Source organism: Homo sapiens, chromosome 9 (assembly GCF_000001405.40).
Source record: "Homo sapiens chromosome 9, GRCh38.p14 Primary Assembly".
In the NCBI taxonomy this organism is placed as follows: Eukaryota; Metazoa; Chordata; class Mammalia; order Primates; family Hominidae; genus Homo; species Homo sapiens.
This window is the reverse complement of record NC_000009.12, coordinates 92,382,525-92,406,183: the sequence shown is the minus strand read 5'-3', so window position 1 is coordinate 92,406,183 and position 23,659 is coordinate 92,382,525. Positions and strand designations below refer to the sequence as shown.

Sequence of the window (23,659 nt, the reverse complement as noted above, 5' to 3'; positions counted from 1 at the left end):
CCCCTCCCTAAGGGGAGCACGTGATGATCCCCTTGCCTAGAATACCTCATCACCTGCGCTTACCCTCCTCTCCTATCCTCTCTATAGAAGTCAGTTTGGGTGCAGTCTCCTTGACTCCCAGTCAGTTTGTGGCTTCTCCCAGGTTATCACAGAACTCTGCATATTTCTGTGTAGCAAGCCCTACCATGGATTCTAGTTGCTTGTTTGCTGCTTTTCCTGCTGACTTAGAGGCTATAAATCTTCCTTGAGGGAAGAAACTGAAGTTTGCTTATCTGAGCTTACGTGTCTGAAGTCCTGGCACAGAATTGGCGCTCAATAAACTTTTATTAAATGAGTGAATGCTAATAACATTGTATTCACTGGTCATAACTTTTCAAGGAAAGTTGTTCTTCACAAAATAATTTTCTGTAGTACAAAGCATCAAAGTGTACCATTAATGAAACTATGAATCTCTAAGATTCTCTAAATTTGGACATATGGTATCTATCCAGCTTACTTCTCAATATCTTGTTAACTTGCCACACAATACAAAACAAATCAATGTCTGTTGTTTCATTATTATATATTTCAAAGTATTTAAAAAAGTTTTACTGTATCCTTGAAGCCATAAAACCAACAATTTATATCAACTCAAGCCAGACAATATCACAATTAAATTTAAGATAATTCACATTCAAATAAAAACTTCAGTGCTCAAGTCTTAGTTTATTTAAGCTTTGATTTGAAAGGTTCTAAAACAATTTTGTCTAGAAAAGAAAACAAATTGTTATTCTTTCATTTTCTATTTTAATAAAATATATATCCATATTTGTTAAATTTTTAGCTTAAAGGAGAAAAGTTAATTTGATTGGTAAAAGCACCAAGGAGGAATTTTTTAAAAGTGACTCTTTAAAAAAATCTTCAAAGTTGCTTGTATGGTATCTACAATGCCACTTTAATTTTTAAAAGCCAATTTCAATATTAAAGTAATTTTATAAAGTTTCCTTCATTCAGCAAACAAAAGTATCTTTTACTATCAACCTCAAAAACTATAAATCAAATTTACTTTTAAAAAGCTAATTTTTATGCATCAGTTTTTCTTATATGTAACTAAAATAAAGGGGAGAAAAAATCCAAATGACAAAACTATCAAATAATTTGTGCTAAAACTAATTTTTACACTGGAAAAATATATTACACTGGCTATATATTAATTATGGTATTAGGGCAATATTTTTAATCCTCATAAAATTAACAACATGGACTATGTTGTCATTTGGTGTCCTATTTCATTCAAAAAGCAGATTGTTTGATCTCCTGGGAAATCACCAAAATGAAAAGGATGACTTTAAAACTATATCATTTTTCATAAACTAATATTCACCAAAACATGAATGTTTATTACACAATAATAAAATCACACAAGTTTATAGTCAAATTAGTTGAAGCAGACTGAGTGCAGCAGTTACAACAAATAACTTAAGCACAGTTCTCTAGTACAACACACTGCATTTCACCCTAGAGAAAGAATGCTGGCAAAGATCTCTACCACATGGAAACTGTTCTTAAAGCTGCTGGGCCCTGAAATTTTACTCAGCAGTTTGAAATCAAGACATAGCTTTTCTCATTCACCCTCCCACTTGGGGCTAATGCACAGACATGAACATCTATTGAGGAAAACCACAAAAAACTTCAAAACAGCTACAACGGTAGGCTTACTTTTCATATATTATTTTAAATATTGTTTGTTAAAGTGCGACTGACTCATCTAATAGTCTTAATAAATGTAAAGGCCATCTCTGGTTTAAGTTTCAGTTACCTCAATTAATTTTTAAGAAGTACTTATGTATATCATCGCATAAATTTAACATCCACGCAGGCAAGAATAGGGTGCTGCAGAAGTCACAAATCCATTATCTTCTTCATTTTCAACCTCTGGATTTTTGACAAACTGGCATCTATAATGCAGCATCAGCAACTCTTGAGTGATTCTGTTTGAAGTTACTTAAGAAAAAGTCTGAAATGTGTACCCACCAGAGAAAATCCATTGATGAGCCTAAAGGAATCCTTTCTATTACATTCCTCAAAGTTCTTTGATTAAAGTTCGGTATTTCCTCTAGCCTGCAATACTATTCTTTCAGTTTTCTTAGCTTAAATTAAAAATACAATACTATTAACTAAAAATTATGATCACCTATTAAAATTACAAAACTAAGAAAATTAAAAACGTATGGCTTTTCCTATATTCTGTACCACCTAAAGGTGTTAATGACTACTTTTCATAATGTTAAATTTAAGTTTTAAAACTTTTCTTGGAACTTGTTTCTGTTCATACCAATATAAATCAAGAGTTCTTATAAAGTAGCTAAGTGGAAATATGATATTTTTAACTCACATGAGACAGGATCTTGGGACTTTATTTTAACTATTTATACTACAGGTATCCTAAGAATATTTCAATTAAATATTAGTATGTCTGCTGAAGGCACTTAATTATTAAGAAACTTAAAATTATCAATCTTTCTTGAATTTCTGATAGAGAAGTAAAACTATTTTCCAAAACTATTTTTCAGAATGTTCACTGATACATAAAAACTGCTAGCATCTAATTAAAGATCACTAAGGGTTAAATACTGTTCTCTGGCCCTTACTGCGCACACCCTGCCAAAACATCCTCTAAGCTTTTAAATATTGCTTCGATGGTCTGAATTTTTATTTCCAGGGAAAAAGAGAGTTTTGTCCCACAGTCAGCAGGCCACTAGTTTATTAACTTCCAGTCACCTTGATTTTTGCTAAAATGAAGACTCTGCAGTCTACACTTCTCCTGTTACTGCTTGTGCCTCTGATAAAGCCAGCACCACCAACCCAGCAGGACTCACGCATTATCTATGATTATGGAACAGATAATTTTGAAGAATCCATATTTAGCCAAGATTATGAGGATAAATACCTGGATGGAAAAAATATTAAGGTACTTTATTTCTATTCTAAATTTAGCTTCTAAAATACTGCCCATTTAAATGCATGTTTTTGCTTTTCCTGAATGTGTCTGATAAGGTAAGGGGAAGGGAAAATCACTTTAAATGATTCAAACGAATTCATAATAATTGTCCCTAAGATTGTATTTTTAGAGTATGTATGCTTTCCAAATTAATAAATGGTATCTATGGTAACCAAACAGTATCTATAGTAACCAAAAAATAAAACTTAAAGAAAACTAGACTTTAAGATGATCCCTCACCAGTTGCAATTTATATATTAAGTAATGTTACACAATGCCCTATACTTGCAATGTTGTGTTGCCTCAAAAATAAATTAGCGGAAATGTGTATTTGGAGAAATAAAGATGAATTATCAGCTTAAGGTTATTATTATAGAAAACAATTTGAAGAAAATACATAGAAGAGTACTGGTTATTTTGATATCAATAGCATTCCACAATAATTTATATATGCCATCTACATACAGTACCAAAAACTGAAAACCTAGTCAATATAGGACTTTCTTTTTAAATCAATTTTAACAGTTTAGACCCTCTATCAATTGGTACCAAGTAACTGTAACTGTCTTTGAGTTAACACTGCAAGGGTGACGTTATACCACATCATTCATTCCCCACCTTTATGGGCAAACTAATTACTTGTGGTTTTCTTGGCACACAGAAATGAATGCTGGGTAAGGAAAAAGTTAATACAGCACTTAAGTATCTGTTGCCCACTATGTATGACACATACACATACACACTGGAAAATGAGAAATTCAGCCAAATATATAACAATACTGATTGTTTCAGAAGTTCTTCTCCACTATAAATTGGAGGATAAAGACTTATAAGATTGACCAGTTATAATTGCTACTTTCTCTTTTCTTTTTTGCAGGGGTACACAATGAGCAAATGTTAACACCACAGTTTCTTTCTTTCAGTTAATGCTTTTAATATGATAGCATTATTTTTGCCCATCACTAAGACACAAAGGATAGGTATTACTAATTATAGCTTCAAGTTAAAGAAAAAAAAGTCCCATCATAACATAGGCTATTGGCTCACTTGGATGATTTGAATCTATTAAGATTCCCTGATCCCTAAAGAGTTTAGAGATTATTTTTCTCTCTGCTTCTTCTCTTTACAGGGCTTTAGAAGTTTCTCTATCTTAATATAAATGCAGGGTCTAAGATATTTGTGGAGTGGAGTAGAATTCAACAGGACTTGATGTGCAAACACAGAGTAGAGGGAGGAAGTTCAACCACCACACAGATGGGAGAATGAAGGTGAAGGGCAGAGTCAGGAGTCAAGACCGAGACTAAAATGGAACATGCTTACAAAGGACAGAAAGAATAGGACACCACATAATACACTGTAATCTAATGGCAGAAAACGTACTCTCCAAGAACAGGAAAGACAGGATCTAAATTGTATCTACTCCAATTTCCCCAGAATTAATGGCCTACCCCAGTGGCCCAAGCAGGGTAGGTAAGGTAAGCTGGAATAAAAGGGATCCAAGAGCCAGGGCTTAATGGAGGGATATAGGTAATTAAAGGGTCACCCCAAGAAGAGACCTAAAGACCTTAATTGGTAGTTTATACTTGTGACATGGCTGGAGCTCTAGTCTTACTCAAAATGGTAGAATCTGAATGAGAAACTCAGTTCAGACAAGACCCCTGAGGAACAGTTTCACCTCAGAAAAACTTTCATTCCAATTCAGGGAATTCTCACCTAGCTTTCATTTGGAATTTCAGGATGTTCAACATTTATTAAGCACTGAGTGTAGCTACTGGCGATATAAAAATAAAAACACCCAGTTCTTTTACTCAAGGAGCTCATAGTCTAGAATAAAAACAAGCTAAAAAATACTTATTGTAATTTAATAGATGATAAAATGGAAATATGTATGAAAGCCTAATGGAGCACAAAGGAAATGCCACTAATTGTAACTACGAGAAGGTGTCTGTGATCCCTTCATTTTACAGAGAAACACAGACTTAATGAAGCTAGGTAACAAACTTTTATTTTTCCAATAGGAAAAAGAAACTGTGATAATACCCAATGAGAAAAGTCTTCAATTACAAAAAGATGAGGCAATAACACCATTACCTCCCAAGAAAGAAAATGATGGTAAGTATCATCTAAATATTTTTCAAATGGATCTTTTAAAAATAGCTATAATGGACTTTATTCCTTGTGGTAATCAAAAACTGACTCAAGATACAGTAAATACAAACAGTGGAATTTTATTTCCAATGATAAACTCAAACTGGGAGTGCACACCATTTGCCATCCCACATTATGAGTGAGAAATGTGGAGCAAGAACTTGTGAGAACAACCAAAGCTTAGGCAAGCTTAGCCTCCACAAAGTGTGGTTTCCATCCATATAAAATCTATTCGAGAAATACTTAAACACGGATTATTTGCAAAATACAATGTGCAGCCTCAGTATACGGTAAATATAATTATTGCCTTTAAGAAACTTACAGAACAGAAACACACATATACATCAATAATTACACATACATTTCAATTAAAATAGAAAACTTGTCATGAAATAACAAATTACAAGTCCTACTTAATAATTCCTGTGTACTTGGCTTACTCTTACTCTATCACAGAACATTATTTCACATGAAAACATGACAAAAACCACATATTAATTTCTATATTTCTAAAATAAAATGAAAATGAACCATAACAGAAAATAAAGCTTAAAAAGCGAGAAGTATGATAGTAAAAATAGATTTGAATAAATTTAAAGACATCCCAGGCTGGGCGTGGTGGCTCACGCCTGTAATCCCAGTACTTTGGGAGGCTGAGGCGGGTGGATCACGAGGTCAGGAGTTCAAGACCAGCCTGGTCAAGATGGTGAAACCCTGTCTCTACTAAAAATACAAAAAATTAGCCAGGCGTGGTGGCAGGTGCCTGTAATCCCAGCTACTCGGGAAGCTGAGGCAGAGAATTGCTTGAACCTGGGAGGTGGAGGTTGCGGTGAGCCGAGGTCGTGCCATTGTACTCCAGCCTAGGCGGCAGAGCAAGACTCTGTCTCAAAAAAAACAAAAACAAAAACAAAAAACAAAAGACATCCCTTGTTCTTGGATGGAATGACTCAAAATCATAAAGATGTCAGTTCTTTCTAAATTTATAAATTTAAAACAATCCAACTAAAATTACCAATAAATTTTTTTATAAAGCTGGAAAACCAGATTCTAGAATTCATATGGAACAACATGTAACAAATAACAAGGGAAACAGTAAACAGTAACAAGTATATGTAGGAATCAGATGTACTACACATTAAAATATATTATAAAACTCTATACTTTAAAAAGTGCGATACTGGTATATGAATAGACAAAAAGATCAATGAAATAGAATAGAAAATCCAGAAACAGACAAAAATACACATGAAAATTCAGTACATACTAAAGGTACCAACCTAAATCACTGAAGCAAAAATGGTCTTTTTAAAAAATGGTGCTGGGAGAAACAGCCATTTGAAGAGGTGTACATTTAGGTCCATACCTTACACAAAAAATAAACTCCAAATAGATTAGCAATCTGAATGTATAAAATGAAATCGTACAAGTACTAGAAAAGAATCTGGGTGCAGGGTGCCTCAAAATCCAGAGACAACAATAGAACAGAACAATAAATTTGACCCTAAAAATACCTGTGGTAAAGTCGAAGGCAACTAAAAACTGGGAAAAATATTTGTAACATATACTACAGATAAATAATATCACTAGATAAAGAGCTCACAGATAATATAACTAAAAATAAAGATCTAGTAACTCTAATTTATAAAGCACTCTTAAAAATCGAGGAAAAGAGATTAACCAAAAATCCACTGGAAAAATGACAGTTCACAAGATGATTTAAATGATTTAACCCAAATAAGTGTTCAATCTCACACAGAGACATATAAATTAAAATTACATTGAGATACCATTTTTAACCTATCTGATTGAAAAAAATTGAAGTATGACAACACATTAATATATTCCATGAGCAAGGGCTATGGGGTAAGACACTCATACACGGCAGCAGGAAGGCAAATCAACACAATGCTTTTGGACAGGAACTTGGCAATATCTAACAAAATAAAAAATGCATTTACTTTTTGACATAAGAACCAACTTTGAGGATTTTTTTTTTTTTTTGAGACAGAGTCTCGCTCTCAGACTGGTGTGCAGCAGTACAATCTTGGCTCACTGCAACCTCCGCCATTTGGGCTCAAGCAATTCTCCTGCTTCAGCCTCCGAGTAGCTGGGATTACAGGCACGCGCCACCACGCCAGGCTAATTTATTGTATTTTTAGTAGAGACAGGTTTCACCATGTTGGTCAGGCTGGTCTTGAACTCCTGACCTCAAGTGCCTCAGCCTCCCAAAGTGCTGGTATTACAGGCGTGAGCCACCACTCCCGGCCAACTTTGAGAAATTTACCTTGATGATATACTCCAAAATAAAATACAAATGCAAAATCACTAAAGCATTGCATGCAATTGCAAAATATCAGAAATAATTTAACTGCCCAAACACTGAAGAGTAGTTGAATAAACAATGGTAAATCCAACAGAAGAGAATACTATGCAGTTGTAAAAATGAATGAGGAAGATCTCTAAGAACTAACATGGAGTGATTTCCAGGATACACTATGTGGAAAAAAAAAACAAAGTGCAAAAGAATATCTATAATATGCTGTCTTTCATGTAAGAAAGAAAAGGATATAAGAAAATATATATGTATCTGCTTGTTTCTGTGAAAATAAATACAGGCTAAAAAGAAATTGGGGGAGAGGGGATGGCAGTTCTCTGCGTATATACTTTTTAATGTAGATTTAATTTTTAGAACAATGCTGTTTCGTATAGTCAAAAAACCAAATACGTATATAAATGAAATCAACAAGAATAAGGTAAAAAGAACCCAAATTGGAATACAAACATAAAAACATAAACTTGATTGTGCTTCAAATTAATAACTCAGCAAAGGAAGAAAAAACTCTAAGTAACTGTTAAACACAGCATTTTCCTATATACCTTCAGGCTAAGGACAAAAAAGAACTATAAACAAATATGAAGTTCCAGTGAGTAGGTTTGTTATGCACAGTGTTATGAGTTAGCAATACTGGAACTACTTAATATGTGTGCCAGAACTAAGTAAATATACGTAAATAATGAGAGCCAGGTTCCGCACTGTCAGAGAAACATTACAAATACGGAAAGGTGGAAGGCTAGAAAGAACACTGTGGAGTTGGTTTGGAATAGAAGATACTACTATTAACTCAGGGTTTGTATATACAGAGATACAGAAATATAGAAATGTTTCTCTCTGTTTATCTCTATGTGTGTGTATGTATACATGAGTATATGGTATACATATGCATGTATATTGTATATGTTTATATCCGTATATGTTGCATGTATGTGTATTATCTGTGGAGAAAGAGACAAATAAACACACACATTTATTTCCTAGCTCTCTCTGCTGAAAGAGCCTAGAAGCAACGTGATCTCAATGGCAATGAGCACACCCAGCACCTGCATCTTGGTTTCTAATACCATTCTCCACTAAAAGAAACCAATGCTGGCCGGGTGTGGTGGCTCATGCCTGTAATATCAGCACTCTGGGAGGCCAAGGCGGGTGGACCACCTGAAGTTAGGAATTTGAGACAAGCCTGGCCAACATGGTGAAACCCCGTCTCTACTAAAAATACAAAAAAAATTAGCTGGGCATGGTGGCACATGTCTGTAATCCCAGCTACTCGGGAGGCTGAGGTGGGAGCATCACTTGGACTCAGGAGGCAGAGCTGCAGTGAGACGAGATGGCACCACTGCACTCCAGCCTGGGTGACAGGGCGAGACTCTGTCTTAAAAACAAATGAACAAACCAAAAAAACCCCCAGTGCTTTCTGAAGAGATAGCTGATTTCAGGGTTGGGGCAGGAAAAATGCAAGGTTAGTTTGGGACATCTTGCTATGTTAGGAAATAAGGAAGTTCTCAAAGAATAATGGTGTTTTTTTGTTTGTTTGTTTGTTTTTTTAGACAGGGTCTCGCTCTATTACCCATGCTGGAGTATAGTGGCATGATCATGGCTCACTGCAGTCTTGACCTCCTGGGCTCCAGCAATCCTCCTGCCTCAGCCTCCCAAGTAGCTGGGACTACAGGAACGTGCCACCACACCTGGCTAATTTTTGTATTTTTTTGTAGAGATGAGGTTTCATCATGTTGCCCAGGTTGGTCTCAAACTCCTAGACTCAAATGATCCACCTGCCTCAGCCTCTAAAAGTGCCAAGATTACATATATGAGCCATTGCACCCAGTCTCCTGACAAAATGTTTTTAAATCCATCAAAATATATAAAAGAAATAGATATAAAAGATGTTTATGGGAAGGCCGAGGCAAGAGGACTGCTTGACCTCAGGAGTTTGAGACCAGCTTGGGCAACATAGTGACACCATGTCTCTACAAAAAATTTAACCAAGAAAAAGCCAGGTGTGGTGGCACAAACCTGTAGTCCCAGTTACTTGAGAGGCTGAGGCAGGAGGATCGCTTGAGCCCAGGAGGTCGAGGTTTGCAGTGAACCATGATCATGCGACTGTACCCCACCCTGAGTGACAGCATGAGATCTTGTCTCAAAAAAAAAAAAATAAAGGTATGTAAGGCCTGTACACTGAAATCTAAATAACGCTGCTAAGAGAAAATAAAGAAGACCTATATATAAGGAGAAATGTATTATGTTCGAGGTCTAGAAGATTCAATATCATTAAGATGTCAGTTTTCCCCAAATTTAGAGATTCAACACAATCCCAATCAAAATCCTAATAGGTTTTTTTTTTGTTTAATTAACAAGCTGATTCTAAAATATATATAAAAATATAAAGGACCTAGAATAGTCTAACAACATTGAAGAAGAACAAAGTTGCAGGATTTATACTAACAAGACTGTTACAAAGGTACAGGAATCAAGACACTGCAGTATTGGCATAAAAATGTTAAAGTGGGTCACCAGAACAAAATAAAATCCAGAAACAGGCTAACATGAAGTAACCAACTAGTTCTTGACAATGTGACAATACAATTCAATGGGGAAAGAATAATCCTTTTAAAAAACGGTGCTGAAAGAACCAGACAACTGTAGGAAAATTTTTCAAAAAAGAATTAACCCTTCCTGGCACCATATATAAAAATTAGCCCAAAGTATACCCCACACCTAAAGGTAAAGATCTTAAACTATACAACTTCTAGAAGAAAACAAAGTGTCAAATCTTGGTGGTCGGCAAACATTACTTAAATACAACACAGAAACCATGAATTATCAAGGAACCAACTGTTCTTCATTAAAATTTAAAATGTTTCATTTCCAAAAGGAAAACTAGTAAGAGGGAAAAAAAAAAAGACAAGTCATCAAATATATGGATGCCAAACAAGCACATGAAAAGATGCTAACATCATTAGTTATCAGAGAATACAAATTAAAACACAATGAGATACTATAACATGCCCTACATTTCAATTGCTAAAATTAAAAAGACTGACCATACCAAATGTTGGCAAGGATGTGGAGCAGCTGGAACTCTCATATGCTGCTGGTAGGAATGTAAAATGGCACAGTCCTTTGGAAAATAGTTTGACACTTTCTTCAAAAGATAAAACATACATTTATAAAAAGACCCAGCCATTCCACTCCTTAGGTACTTACCCAAGAGAAATGAAAGCATTAAGTCCACACAAACTTACACATAAATTTCTTTGAAATAGTGAAAACCTGGAAACAACCCAATGTCCATATGAAATGACCATGTAAATTGTATATATTGAGACAATTGAATACTACTGAGTAATAAAGAAGAATGAACTACTGATAAAGATTGAAAATCAAAATAATAATGCTGAGTAAAAGAAGCCAGAAAAGGAAGTAGATACTCCATGATTCTTTTAATATAAAATTCTCCTAAATGCAAACTAATGTATACTGACCAAAAGCAGGTCAGTCATTGCTCGAGGACAAGAGTGGGAGGGAGAGATTACCAAAGGGCAGGAGAAAACTTTTTGGAGTGACAGGTATGTTAATTAACTCACTTGTAGTGAACGTTTCATGGGGGTGTACATATGTAAAAATCGTATATGTTGTACGATTTAAATACACGCAATTAATTGTAAGTCAGCTAACCACAAAAAGCTGTAGCAGGAAAAAAAAGCTTGAAAGGGCCTAATCTGTGACAATTTGACTATTAAAATAAACACAGATTATGACTTATGGGACACAATTCATATTGATATGAAAATATCAATTAAAATTTCAAAAAATAGGCCGGGCGTGGTGGCTCACACCTGTAATCCTAGCACTTTGGGAGGCTGAGGCGGGCAGATCACCTGAGGTCAGGAGTTCGAAAGCAGCCTGGCCAACATGGTGAAACCCAGTCTCTACTAAAAATACAAAAAAATTAGCCGGACATGGTGGCACATGCCTGTAATCCCGGATACTTGGGAGGCTGAGGCAGGAGAATTGCTTGAACCCGGGAGGCGGAGACTGCAGTGAGCCGAGATCACACCACTGCACTCCAACCTGGGTGACGAAGCGAGACTTCATCTCAAAAAAAAGAAAAAAAATTCAAAAAATAAAATTTGACATGTTTATTTGATATATTTAAAATATATCAAAATAGGTCAGGTGTGATGGCTCACGTCTGTAATCCCGGCACTTTGGGAGACCGAGGCAGGCAGATCACTTGAGGTCATGTTCGAGACCAGCCTGGCCAACATGGTGAAACCTTGTCTATACTAAAAATTCAAAAAAAAAAAAAAAATAGCCATGTGTGGTGGCATACGCCAGTAATCCCAGCTACTCAGGAGGCTGAGGCAGAAGAATCGCTTGAAATGGGGAGGTGGAGGTTGCAATGAGCCAAGATCACACCACCACACTCCAGCATGAGCAACAGGGCAAGACTCTGTCTCAAAAATAAGTAAGTAAATAAAATAATAAAATATATCAAAATATATAAAACAAGTTCATATTGATATAAAAATAAGAAGAGAGTGCCAACTAACAAATGTAGAAGGAATGATGGAATTAGAAAATCACTATTTGGTTAGTCACAAATGATTCGGGTAAGAATCATCAATGGATGCTAAAACTAGTATATGAAAGTACAATGTCACACCAGACATTTAGATTCTCAAAGTACTTCTCCAGAATTACTTGTTATGAAGTGAAAAATATTAACTTTACTCAGTGAGAAACATGGCAAATACTAGTTGAACCAAGTGACCAAAGATATTATCAGGAATGGGATAAACAGATATCATGTGCTTTTGGACACACAGCACTGACGATCCATGGTACTCCTGCCAAAAATGAGAAACCTCTGCCAACTGAAAGGCATTCTGCAGAATAAATGCCCTGAAAAAGAAAACTAAACAAAAAAAAAAGCTCTACACTTTTCAAAAACAGGAAAAGGTATAAAAAACAAAGACTAAGGAATGTTCCAAGAGGTATGACAAGTAAATGTAATAAATGACTTGGGGTGCTAAAGGATCCAAACAGTGCCTACGATTACTCTAATTTTCAAGTTAATGGCTTCCTTACTTAACTAGTGGTTACTAAAGTCTAGCTACTGTCACCAATCTGAAATATGTTTCTCACACATTAAACTTAATAAGTCAAGCTCATGTTTACCTTAACTCCTGCTTTGTAAATTTTTTTGGTTTTCAAATAAGGAAATGTAACTGTCAATCAATTCAGCATTTAAGCAATCACCAGTAAAACAAAATAAAAAGAGATTCTCAAACAATATTCTGGTGAATTATCAAGCACAATATAGGTAACGAGTTACCATGACTATCTTTCTTATGATTCTGTAAAACATCTCTTCAAATTAGTAATAGCATTCATAATAGCAATAATTTTACTACTAGAGGAGAAATATTTTCAAACGATTGTTCATATTTTTATGATTTTATTCCCAATTTAGAAATGCCCACGTGTCTGCTGTGTGTTTGTTTAAGTGGCTCTGTATACTGTGAAGAAGTTGACATTGATGCTGTACCACCCTTACCAAAGGAATCAGCCTATCTTTACGCACGATTCAACAAAATTAAAAAGCTGACTGCCAAAGATTTTGCAGACATACGTAAGTTAAGCTGAAATATGATATTAGTATTAACTCGTATTAGTATTTAACTCATATAAACACAAGTTTCTATATAGTTGCTGCCTATCACATTCAGGTTTGTCACTTGAAGTACATAAATATCTAACATGTTTCACAAAAGTCCATTCATTTGTTGGTGAATCATCTTTCCACTTAGACAGATCCTGTGATCTTTCTTTACTGGTGACTTCACTGTCTATGATGACAGCCCATCTAACATATGGGCAACTATATCTTCTCAACTCCAATACTTCAAGATCCCTTGCTTCAGACACTGAGCAACACCAATATAACTGGGATGCTTCTCCAACCACAATGTTTTATTTTCTACCTGGACTATAAAAACACAGAAAGTGCTTTTTCTTACTTTAACTAATGGCTCTTAAACCTGGCTGCATATTAAAAATATCTTGGGAAGTGTTTTTTTTTTCTCCCCCCTCCCCCCAACCCGACATGGAGTCTTGCTCTGTTGCCCAGGCTGGAGTAGAGTGGCGTGATCTTGGCTCACTGCAACCTCTGTCTCCCAGGTTTAAGTGGCTCTCCTGTCTCAGCCTCTCACGTAGCTGAGGTGTGTGCCACCACACCTGGCTAATATTTGTATTTTTAGTAGAGATGGGGTTTCACCATGTTGGCCAGGCTGGTCTGGAACTCCTGACCTTGTGATCCGCCCGCCTCGGCCTCCCAAAGTGCTGGGAATACAGGCGTGAGCCACCATGCCCGGCAGGGAAGTATTTTTTAAATACTGATACTAGGTCCTACTTCCCAGGGGTTGTAATTCAGATCTGGGGTAGGGCCCAAGCAACATCATTAAAAACAAACAAACTCCTTGGATGATTCTAATATGGAAATACTGTTGAGAACAGTGGTATTTAATTCCTTACCAGGTCATTATCAATCTTGAACTTCTAGCAAACCTTAACTCAGTTAGTGTTGCCATAAGCACACCAGAATCCTCCATTTCTGCAGTACCAAATCCCAGTCCTAGATCACTAATTTCTTGTCAGTTTTCTAGACTCCTAATATTGTCAAGAGTTCTGAAAAAAATCACACCGAGAAATGCATACTAGCCCCGCTACACATTTATGAGACTAACCATAACCAGGTTCATGCTGCCACTGATAGCTCCCAAATGTGGATTGAAGTATAGTTGATCCTTGTTATTTGTGGATTCCATATTTGTGAATACCCACTTGCTAAAATTTATTTATAACCCCAAAATTAATACACATTGTGCTTTCATGGGCTTTCTCAGACATGCTCAGAGTGGCAAAAAATTTGAATTACTTGACATGCACATTCCCATCTGAGGTTGAACAAGGTAACACTGTCTTCTGGTTCCAGTTCTCATACTGTAAATAAATGCCCTGTTCACAGTCTATTTAACGACATGTTTTTCACATTTTTGTGCTTTGTGTTTATGATTTTGCTGTTTATTGATTTTTGTTTTTTGGGGGGTTTTTTTGTTTGAGACAGGGTCTCGCTCTGTTGCCCAGGCTGAAGTGCAGTGGTGTGATCTCAGCTCACTGCAGCCTCTGCCTCCTGGGTTCAAGGGATTCTTGTCCCTCAGTCTCGCAAGTAGCTGAGACTACAGGCATGTGCCACCACACCTGGTTACTTGTTTTATTGTAATTTAATTTAATTTAATTTATTTATTTTTTGAGATGGAGTCTTACTCTGTTGCCCAGGCTGGAGTGCAGTGGCACCATCTCGGCTCACTGCTAGCTCCGCCTCCCAGGTTCATGCCATTCTCCTGCCTCAGCTTCCCGAGTAGCTGGGACTACAAGTGCTCGCCACCACGCCTGGCTAATTTTTTTTTTTTTTTTGGTATTTTTAGTAGAGATGGGGTTTCACCGTGTTAGCCAGGATGGTCTCGATCTCCTGACCTCATGATCCGCCCACCTTGGCCTCCCAAAGTGCTGGGATTACAGGTGTGAGCCACCGCGCCTGGCCTATTATAATTTTAATAGAGATGAGGTTGCGCTGTGTTGGCCAGGCTGGTCTCGAACTCCTGACCTCAAGTGATCTGCCCACCTTGGCCTCCCAAAGTGCTAGGATTACAGGCATAAGCCACCACACCTGGCCTGATTTTGCTGTTTAACATGACCCAACACATGGTGCTGAAGTGACGTCTAACATCCCCAAGCACAAAAAGGCTGTGATATGCCTACAGGGAAAATATGTTAGATAAGGTTTGTTCAGGCATGAGTTATAGTGCAATATTAATGATTCAACAATATATACTCAGCCAAGTGTCCTTAAGCAAAAACACATAAAGTTATATACTAATAGTTGATGGAAATGTGTGGCCAGAGGCTCACAGGAACATAACCCTGTATTTCTCCTAGGAATAATGGTTCAGTATTTACAAATTCAACACTTGTGGTAATTTTATAGAACATGATTCCTGTGAATAAGAAACAATTGATTTCCTAATTATCCCAGATATACGTGATGCACACGCAAGTACGCGCGCGCGCACACACACACACACACACACACACTGAATTTCTCTCTCAATCTGTGTCACTTTAACAAATCAGGGAACATCTTTGTCTTTGTTGTTGTTAAGCGATAAGGCATAGAGAGATTAAGATTAAGATAACATACTCAGAATCACAACGCAACATGCCAGCAAAAAAATAAAAAAAATTACATGATTCCAATCAAATGTAATGCTTCCTTTCCATGATTTGCAACAAGAATTTCTTTCAAACTGCCTGACCATCCCAAGGAATTTGAACAGAGAAAGATGAAAAGACTCGATTAACTTTAAGATCACTTTCAAACCTGAGATTCTAGGACTCCAGTCAGAAAGGGAATCAATTTCAGGCACAAAGAGGTGTTCAGTGATCATTCCACAAAACTTTACTGGGCTATGAATTGTAAACAGTCTACCAGGCACTAAAAATGAAAGATGCTTGAGTGATCTGTTAAACAAATGCTTTTCTTCAGTCCATACAATAAGAATTTTACTTACGTAGTTGTTTTTTATATTTTTTTCCCTCTAGCTAACTTAAGAAGACTCGATTTTACAGGAAATTTGATAGAAGATATAGAAGATGGTACTTTTTCAAAACTTTCTCTGTTAGAAGAACTTTCACTTGCTGAAAATCAACTACTAAAACTTCCAGTTCTTCCTCCCAAGCTCACTTTATTTAATGCAAAATACAACAAAATCAAGAGTAGGGGAATCAAAGCAAATGCATTCAAAGTAAGTATTTTATAGTAAAACTAAGCATAGTATGAGTGATGATATGATAGATAAAAGAGAAACTTTGGTCTAGAATTGTATTTTGATTACACTTAAAAACTATTTTGATTTAATAAATGAAGACATTATTTACATAATAAATAACCATCCTATTAGGCTCATTCAGCCTAGCTTATACCCATATCTCAGTTAAAATACATAACCTTTATTTTATTTCATGGGACTATTTTGTTTCTCATTTTTTCACTTGTTCATACAGCAAATATTTATTTAGACAGACATGGTTGGCCCTCTCATGACACTTACAGTCTACGAAAGCTCAAAATGGGATATTTCCTGTGTTTCTTTTTCCTTACAATGTTAGCAAATTATAAACACCAGAAAAAAATAAAGATCCAAAAGTAAATACTGAATTTAACTTTTAATATTTAAAGATATTAGACTGTGAAATTCTATAGGGAGATTTTCCTTTGAATTTCATGAGAGCATGTAATATAAAATTTTATATGTAGTAAGAATTAAATACATTTCTTAACAATTCAAGCAAATATTATGTAGGAAAAAGGGAAAGTAATCTACTTCGGTTTAGGTAGACAATTTGTCTCAAAATGCATGACCTACAGGAGTAATCACTTTAGTCCAGGATTTCCATAGCTCTGATGTAATCATTCCCCAGATAAAATGATGACCATGCCATTGCTGGTAACAGACATAATCTCATTCAAAAGGCAAGGTTTCTTGCTTCTAAAGGTAACTTCAGAAACTATCAAATATTCATTATCATAAAGTTTATGATAATCACACACAGGTAAATTCTGTCAAAAAATGTACAATCTGTTAGAAAGTGTACAAATAGTCCATTTTTTCATTTTTCATTACAATTAAGGTATCTTTATTCAACTTTAAGGGACATTTTAAAGTTACATCAGAGCTCATCTGATGTTTCTTATAAGGAACTCAGAAGTTAAGGGACTCTTAGAGGACTTTTTAAAAGCAGATACACCTTTTTTTTTTTTTTTTTTGAGATGGAGTCTTGCTCTGTCACCCAGGCTGGAGTGCAGTGGCGTGATCTTGGCTTACTGCAACCTCCGCCTCCCAGGTTTGAGCAATTCTCCTGCCTCAGCCTCCCAAGTGGCTGGGACTACAGGCACACACCACCACGCCCGGCTAATTTCTACACTTTTAGTAGAGATGGGTGTTGGCCAGGCTGGTCTTGAACTCCTGACCTCAGGTGATCCGCCCACTTTGGCCTCCCAAAGTGCTAGGATTACAGGCGTAAGCCACCGTGCCTGGCCTTTTTTTTTTTGTTTTAAAGTTGTAATTTGAAAATATTAATTTGAGTTGGTCACTCTTTGAATAACAGACATGTTAAAGACCTATAAAAGTTGATCAGGACAGGTTCAGTGGCTCACGCCTATAATCCCAGCACTTTAGGAGGATGAGGCAGGCGGATCACTTGAGGTCAGGAGGTCAGGACCAGCCTGGCCAACATGGTGAAACTCTGTCTCCACTAAAAATACAAAAATTAGCTAGGCGTGGTGGTGGGCGCCTGTAGTCCCAGCTACTCAGGAGGCTGAGGCACAAGAATTGCTTGAACCTGGGAGGCAGAAGTTGCAGTGAACTGCTGAGATTGTACCACTGCACTCCAGCCTGGGCCACAGAGCAAGATTCAGTCTCCAAAAAAAAAGGAGCTGATCAACATTTCACAAAAAGAACATTTGAATATTCTGGGGTTTAGACAGGAATTACAGAAGGGATTTATGACAAGTTGGTATGAAAATAATAAACTTGGCCAGGCACGGTGGCTCATGCCTGTAATCCTAGCACTTTGGGAGGCCAAGGCGGGCAGATTGCCTGAGCTCAAGAGTTCGAGACCAGCCTGGGCAACATGGTGAAACCCTGTCTCTACTGAAATACAAAAAATTAGCTGGGCGTGGTGGTGGGCACCTGTCGTCCCAGCTACTCAGGAGGCTGAGGCAGGAGAATTGCTTTAACCTGGGAGGCGGAGGTTGCAGTGAGCTCAGATCATGACACTGCACTACAGCCTGGGCAACAGAGTGAGACTCCATCTCTAAAAAAAAAGAAAAGAAAATAATAAATTCAGCTGCCCTATAGTTTTGTTTAATGTCCTAAGCTGCTACAGTCACTAGTAGAATTAGGTTATTCTACCTCATGTAAATGAGACTCACTGGGAAGACAAGAGCTTGATGCCCACATGGTGGAAGGGTAGGGTGCTTAAGAAAGTATTAAAATAGCAACACAGAAAAGAATTAGCAAAATCTACCACAGGATACATATTGAAGATAAGGTAAAAGAGTAATGTCAGGGGAAATTACAATTATACACAATAATGGGTTACTGATCATGAAGAATAATCCAACATTAAGCCCTTAGGGAAAAAACCTGCATCAAGCTAACTGTTTGCTAAACTGCTTTGGGAAACATCTTGCTAAGAACACATTTTTTTTTTTTTTTCTTGAGATGGAGTCTCGTTCTGTGGCCCAGGCTGGAGTGCAGTGGCACAATCTCGGCTCACTGCAACCTCCACCCCCTGGGTTCAAGCAATTCTCCTGCCTCACTCAGGCTCCCTAGTAGCTGGGATTACAGGCATGTGCTACCACACCAGTTAATTTTTGTATTTTTAGTAGAAATGGGGTTTCACCATGTTGGCCAGGCTGGTCTCGAACTCCTGACCTCAAGTGATCCACCCACATTGACCTCTCAAAGTACTGGGATTACAGGCGTGAGCCACCATGCCCGGCTAAGCACACACATTTCTTTTTTTTTTTTTTTTTTTTTTCTTTTTGAGACAGAGTCTCGCTCTGTTGCCCAGGCTGTAGTACAGTGGTGCGATCTCAGCTCACTGCAAGCTCTGCCTCCTGGGTTCACAGCATTCTCCTGCCTCAGCCTCCCGAGTAGCTGGGACTACAGGCGCCCACCACCACGCCTGTCTAATTTTTTGTATTTTTTTAGGCCGGGCATGGTGGCTCACACCTGTAATCCCAGCACTTTGGGAGGCTGAGGCGGGCAGATCACGAGGTCAGGAAATCGATACCATACCAGCCAACATGGTGAAACCTCGTCTCTACTAAAAACATACAAGCACACACATTTCTAAGAAGTAACCACTTAGCTAGAAATTGGTGGAACTGAGATGGGAAACTCCAGAGGTACAGGAGAGGTTATGGCAGCACCAGGGTCAAAATTCAATCCCACATAGGGACTCACCTCATTAGTTCCTATCAAGACAAACACAAAGAGTACCAGAAGTTGGCATTAGAGCCGGATATTCAGAGATCAGATGAATGGACAGAAGTGTGGGGTATGCGGCAGAGCTCCACTGGCCATCATAAAGGATCAAAATACACTACACGTGAAGTCAGAAAAAAAACCCAAACAAGAAACTACCATACGAACAATTGATATAATTGATGTATTCATATCAATATGCAAGTCTGTATATATAGACATATACTCATATGCACATATATATTGCTTGAATCCTGTGAAAGAATGTACAGAACCTCAATAACACTCACATGAAATTTTCCTTACAGAAACTGAATAACCTCACCTTCCTCTACTTGGACCATAATGCCCTGGAATCCGTGCCTCTTAATTTACCAGAAAGTCTACGTGTAATTCATCTTCAGGTATGATAGTTCCTTTCACAATATCTGACTCTAATTACCTATGAGTCAAAATCTTGTGACTCATTGGGAACCTCACTTATTCACATACAAATTTTGGTTAGATCACTGTAGTAGCGTGATAGCTAAATGTCTGCCTATCAAAAAGATTAATACTAGGCTCATGAACTTTCTTCCCAGAAGTCCAGATTCCATCCAGAGCATAACAAGTAGACCAGCACAGTACGTGTGAAGTCTGCTCTTGATTGTATTTGTCTCCAGGTGTACATTTGAGTATTTCCTAATTAATTTGACACAAGGATTTGAAGTGAGGGGGCACTCAGACCTCTGACTTAGGTTTCCTTTACCCATTATATAGCATATGAAAGGTTGATTTCAGATTTCTGAACAATGTTTTCCTCGTTTTTTTTCAGTTCAACAACATAGCTTCAATTACAGATGACACATTCTGCAAGGCTAATGACACCAGTTACATCCGGGACCGCATTGAAGAGATACGCCTGGAGGGCAATCCAATCGTCCTGGGAAAGCATCCAAACAGTTTTATTTGCTTAAAAAGATTACCGATAGGGTCATACTTTTAACCTCTATTGGTACAACATATAAATGAAAGTACACCTACACTAATAGTCTGTCTCAACAATGAGTAAAGGAACTTAAGTATTGGTTTAATATTAACCTTGTATCTCATTTTGAAGGAATTTAATATTTTAAGCAAGGATGTTCAAAATCTTACATATAATAAGTAAAAAGTAAGACTGAATGTCTACGTTCGAAACAAAGTAATATGAAAATATTTAAACAGCATTACAAAATCCTAGTTTATACTAGACTACCATTTAAAAATCATGTTTTTATATAAATGCCCAAATTTGAGATGCATTATTCCTATTACTAATGATGTAAGTACGAGGATAAATCCAAGAAACTTTCAACTCTTTGCCTTTCCTGGCCTTTACTGGATCCCAAAAGCATTTAAGGTACATGTTCCAAAAACTTTGAAAAGCTAAATGTTTCCCATGATCGCTCATTCTTCTTTTATGATTCATACGTTATTCCTTATAAAGTAAGAACTTTGTTTTCCTCCTATCAAGGCAGCTATTTTATTAAATTTTTCACTTAGTCTGAGAAATAGCAGATAGTCTCATATTTAGGAAAACTTTCCAAATAAAATAAATGTTATTCTCTGATAAAGAGCTAATACAGAAATGTTCAAGTTATTTTACTTTCTGGTAATGTCTTCAGTAAAATATTTTCTTTATCTAAATATTAACATTCTAAGTCTACCAAAAAAAGTTTTAAACTCAAGCAGGCCAAAACCAATATGCTTATAAGAAATAATGAAAAGTTCATCCATTTCTGATAAAGTTCTCTATGGCAAAGTCTTTCAAATACGAGATAACTGCAAAATATTTTCCTTTTATACTACAGAAATGAGAATCTCATCAATAAATTAGTTCAAGCATAAGATGAAAACAGAATATTCTGTGGTGCCAGTGCACACTACCTTCCCACCCATACACATCCATGTTCACTGTAACAAACTGAATATTCACAATAAAGCTTCTGAGTAACACTTTCTGATTACTCATGATAAACTGACATGGCTAACTGCAAGAATTAAATCTTCTATCTGAGAGTAATAATTTATGATGACTCAGTGGTGCCAGAGTAAAGTTTCTAAAATAACATTCCTCTCACTTGTACCCCACTAAAAGTATTAGACTACACATTACATTGAAGTTAAACACAAAATTATCAGTGTTTTAGAAACATGAGTCCGGACTGTGTAAGTAAAAGTACAAACATTATTTCCACCATAAAGTATGTATTGAAATCAAGTTGTCTCTGTGTACAGAATACATACTTATTCCCATTTTTAAGCATTTGCTTCTGTTTTCCCTACCTAGAATGTCAGATGTTTTTCAGTTATCTCCCCATTTGTCAAAGTTGACCTCAAGATAACATTTTTCATTAAAGCATCTGAGATCTAAGAACACAATTATTATTCTAACAATGATTATTAGCTCATTCACTTATTTTGATAACTAATGATCACAGCTATTATACTACTTTCTCGTTATTTTGTGTGCATGCCTCATTTCCCTGACTTAAACCTCACTGAGAGCGCAAAATGCAGCTTTATACTTTTTACTTTCAATTGCCTAGCACAATAGTGAGTACATTTGAATTGAATATATAATAAATATTGCAAAATAAAATCCATCTAAATAGAAGGGTTCTGTTTTATTTGGAAAAATTGAATCTTTAAACTATCATAATCTTGAATGACTGTCATCTTTCTAGTTTTCAGAAAAATAATGTATTCCTATATTATTTTTATGATAAAACTTATGGAGCAAAACACCATCAAATAACTCTCAAATTAAGAAAAAATTCAAAAGTCAGTAGTTTTAGATAAGATAATGATAAGGGAGAAAGAACATTGGTAAAAGGTATGAATTCCAGAATTAAAGAAATAATTTGGGGATTTCTAGATAAGAGGATATATATGAACATGCATACCTTACACCTTCATATACACAACCTTAAATCACAAATAAAACAAAATAAACAATACAAATTATACCACCAAGATTCAGAAGATATCAGACGAAATAATTAGAGAAAGTAAAAATATGCTGTCTCCATTATATTCATAATGTTTCATTCTTGACACTAATAATTAGAGGCTTTAAATTTTTAAATGATTTACTTTTTACTAACATTGCTGAAAAAAACTAAAGACATACATAAATGGAAAGATGTCTTGTGTTTATGGATGGTAAGATTTAATGTTGTTAAGACAACAATACTATCCAATATGATATGCAGACTGAACACAGTTGCCATCAAAATCTCAATGATGCTTTCACACAAATAAAATGGAACTTCAAGAGACCCCCAAATAAAGAGAAGAATCTTGAAAATAAGAATAAAGATAGAAGACTCACATTTCCTAACTTCAACATTTACAACAAAGATACAGTAATGAAAACAGTGTGTGGCTGGGCGCAATGGCTCACACCTGTAATCCCAGCACTTTGTGAGGCTGAGGCGGGTGGATTACTTGAGGTCAGGAGTTCGAGACCAGCCTGGCCAACATGGTTAAACTCTGTCTCTATTAAAAATTCCAAAAAATTAGCCGGGTGTGGTGGCGGGTGCCTGTAATCCCAGCTACTGGGAGGCTGAGGCAGGAGAATCGCTTGACCAGGAGGCGGAGGTTGCAGTGAGCCAAGATCGCATCACTGCACTCTAGCCTAGGCGACAGAGCAAGACTCTGTCTAAAAAAAAAAAAAAAAAAAAAAAAAGGAAAACAGTGTGGTACTAGCGTAAGTACAGACATATAGACCAACAGAATAAATTAAACAGCCCAGAAATAAACCCTTCCAAATAGGGTCAGATACTTTTCAACAAAAGTACAAAGACCATTCAGTGGAGAACGCCAGTCTCTTCAACAATGGTGCTGGGAAAACTGGATATCCATATACAAAAGAATGAAGTTGGACACCTACCTTATGTAATATTTAAAAACAAACTAAAAGACCTAAACTTAAGGGTTAAATTATAAAATTCTTAGAGAAAATATAGAGGAAAACCTTTATGACATTGAATTTGGCACGGAATTACTTGGATTTGTCACCAAAAACACAGGTAAAAAAGAAAAAATAGATAAACT

General features: G+C 36.4%; 2 protein-coding genes across 7 annotated transcripts in view, besides 1 other annotated feature; one reads left to right on the top strand and one right to left on the bottom strand.

Annotated features, from left to right (window-relative positions):
• The window catches only part of CENPP (centromere protein P), a 295,062-nt gene that overhangs the window by 214,346 nt on the left and 57,057 nt on the right, over nt 1-23,659 (bottom strand). The gene's annotated exons all lie outside the window — the stretch shown is intronic.
• Nucleotides 1,485-22,916, top strand: OGN (osteoglycin). 3 transcript variants are annotated; one of them, NM_024416.4, is made up of 7 exons: nt 1,485-1,688; nt 2,783-2,950; nt 4,999-5,092; nt 12,940-13,098; nt 16,128-16,330; nt 19,888-19,983; nt 20,394-22,913. In NM_024416.4, exons 1-7 carry the CDS (start codon nt 1,509-1,511, stop codon nt 20,562-20,564), a joined length of 1,071 nt encoding a protein of 356 aa, NP_077727.3. In that variant the 5' UTR covers nt 1,485-1,508; the 3' UTR covers nt 20,565-22,913. The 3 variants fall into 3 exon arrangements, with proteins under 3 accessions (NP_077727.3, NP_054776.1, NP_148935.1); NM_014057.5 differs by having other exon boundaries at nt 1,606-1,688; nt 2,702-2,950; nt 20,394-22,916; NM_033014.4 differs by having other exon boundaries at nt 1,606-1,688; nt 2,420-2,950; nt 20,394-22,916.
• Nucleotides 17,312-17,481: an enhancer, noted in NCBI's record as "experimental_109638 CRE fragment used in MPRA reporter constructs". NCBI's record gives its function as "activates a minimal promoter by MPRAs in K562 erythroleukemia cells, with activity observed for the non-introgressed 9:95151070 variant allele {active_cell/tissue: K562}" and the evidence as "EXISTENCE:reporter gene assay evidence [ECO:0000049][PMID:34662402]".

What these genes read in the sequence shown, in the direction of transcription:
- OGN (NM_024416.4), top strand. Translation starts at nt 1,509, where the DNA reads ATGCTGGCAAAGATCTCTACCACATGGAAACTGTTCTTAAAGCTGCTG. An exon ending in TGGATGGAAAAAATATTAAG is followed by an intron (nt 2,951 to 4,998) that starts GTACTTTATTTC and finishes TTTTTCCAATAG; the next exon opens with GAAAAAGAAACTGTGATAAT. An exon ending in TACGTGTAATTCATCTTCAG is followed by an intron (nt 19,984 to 20,393) that starts GTATGATAGTTC and finishes GTTTTTTTTCAG; the next exon opens with TTCAACAACATAGCTTCAAT.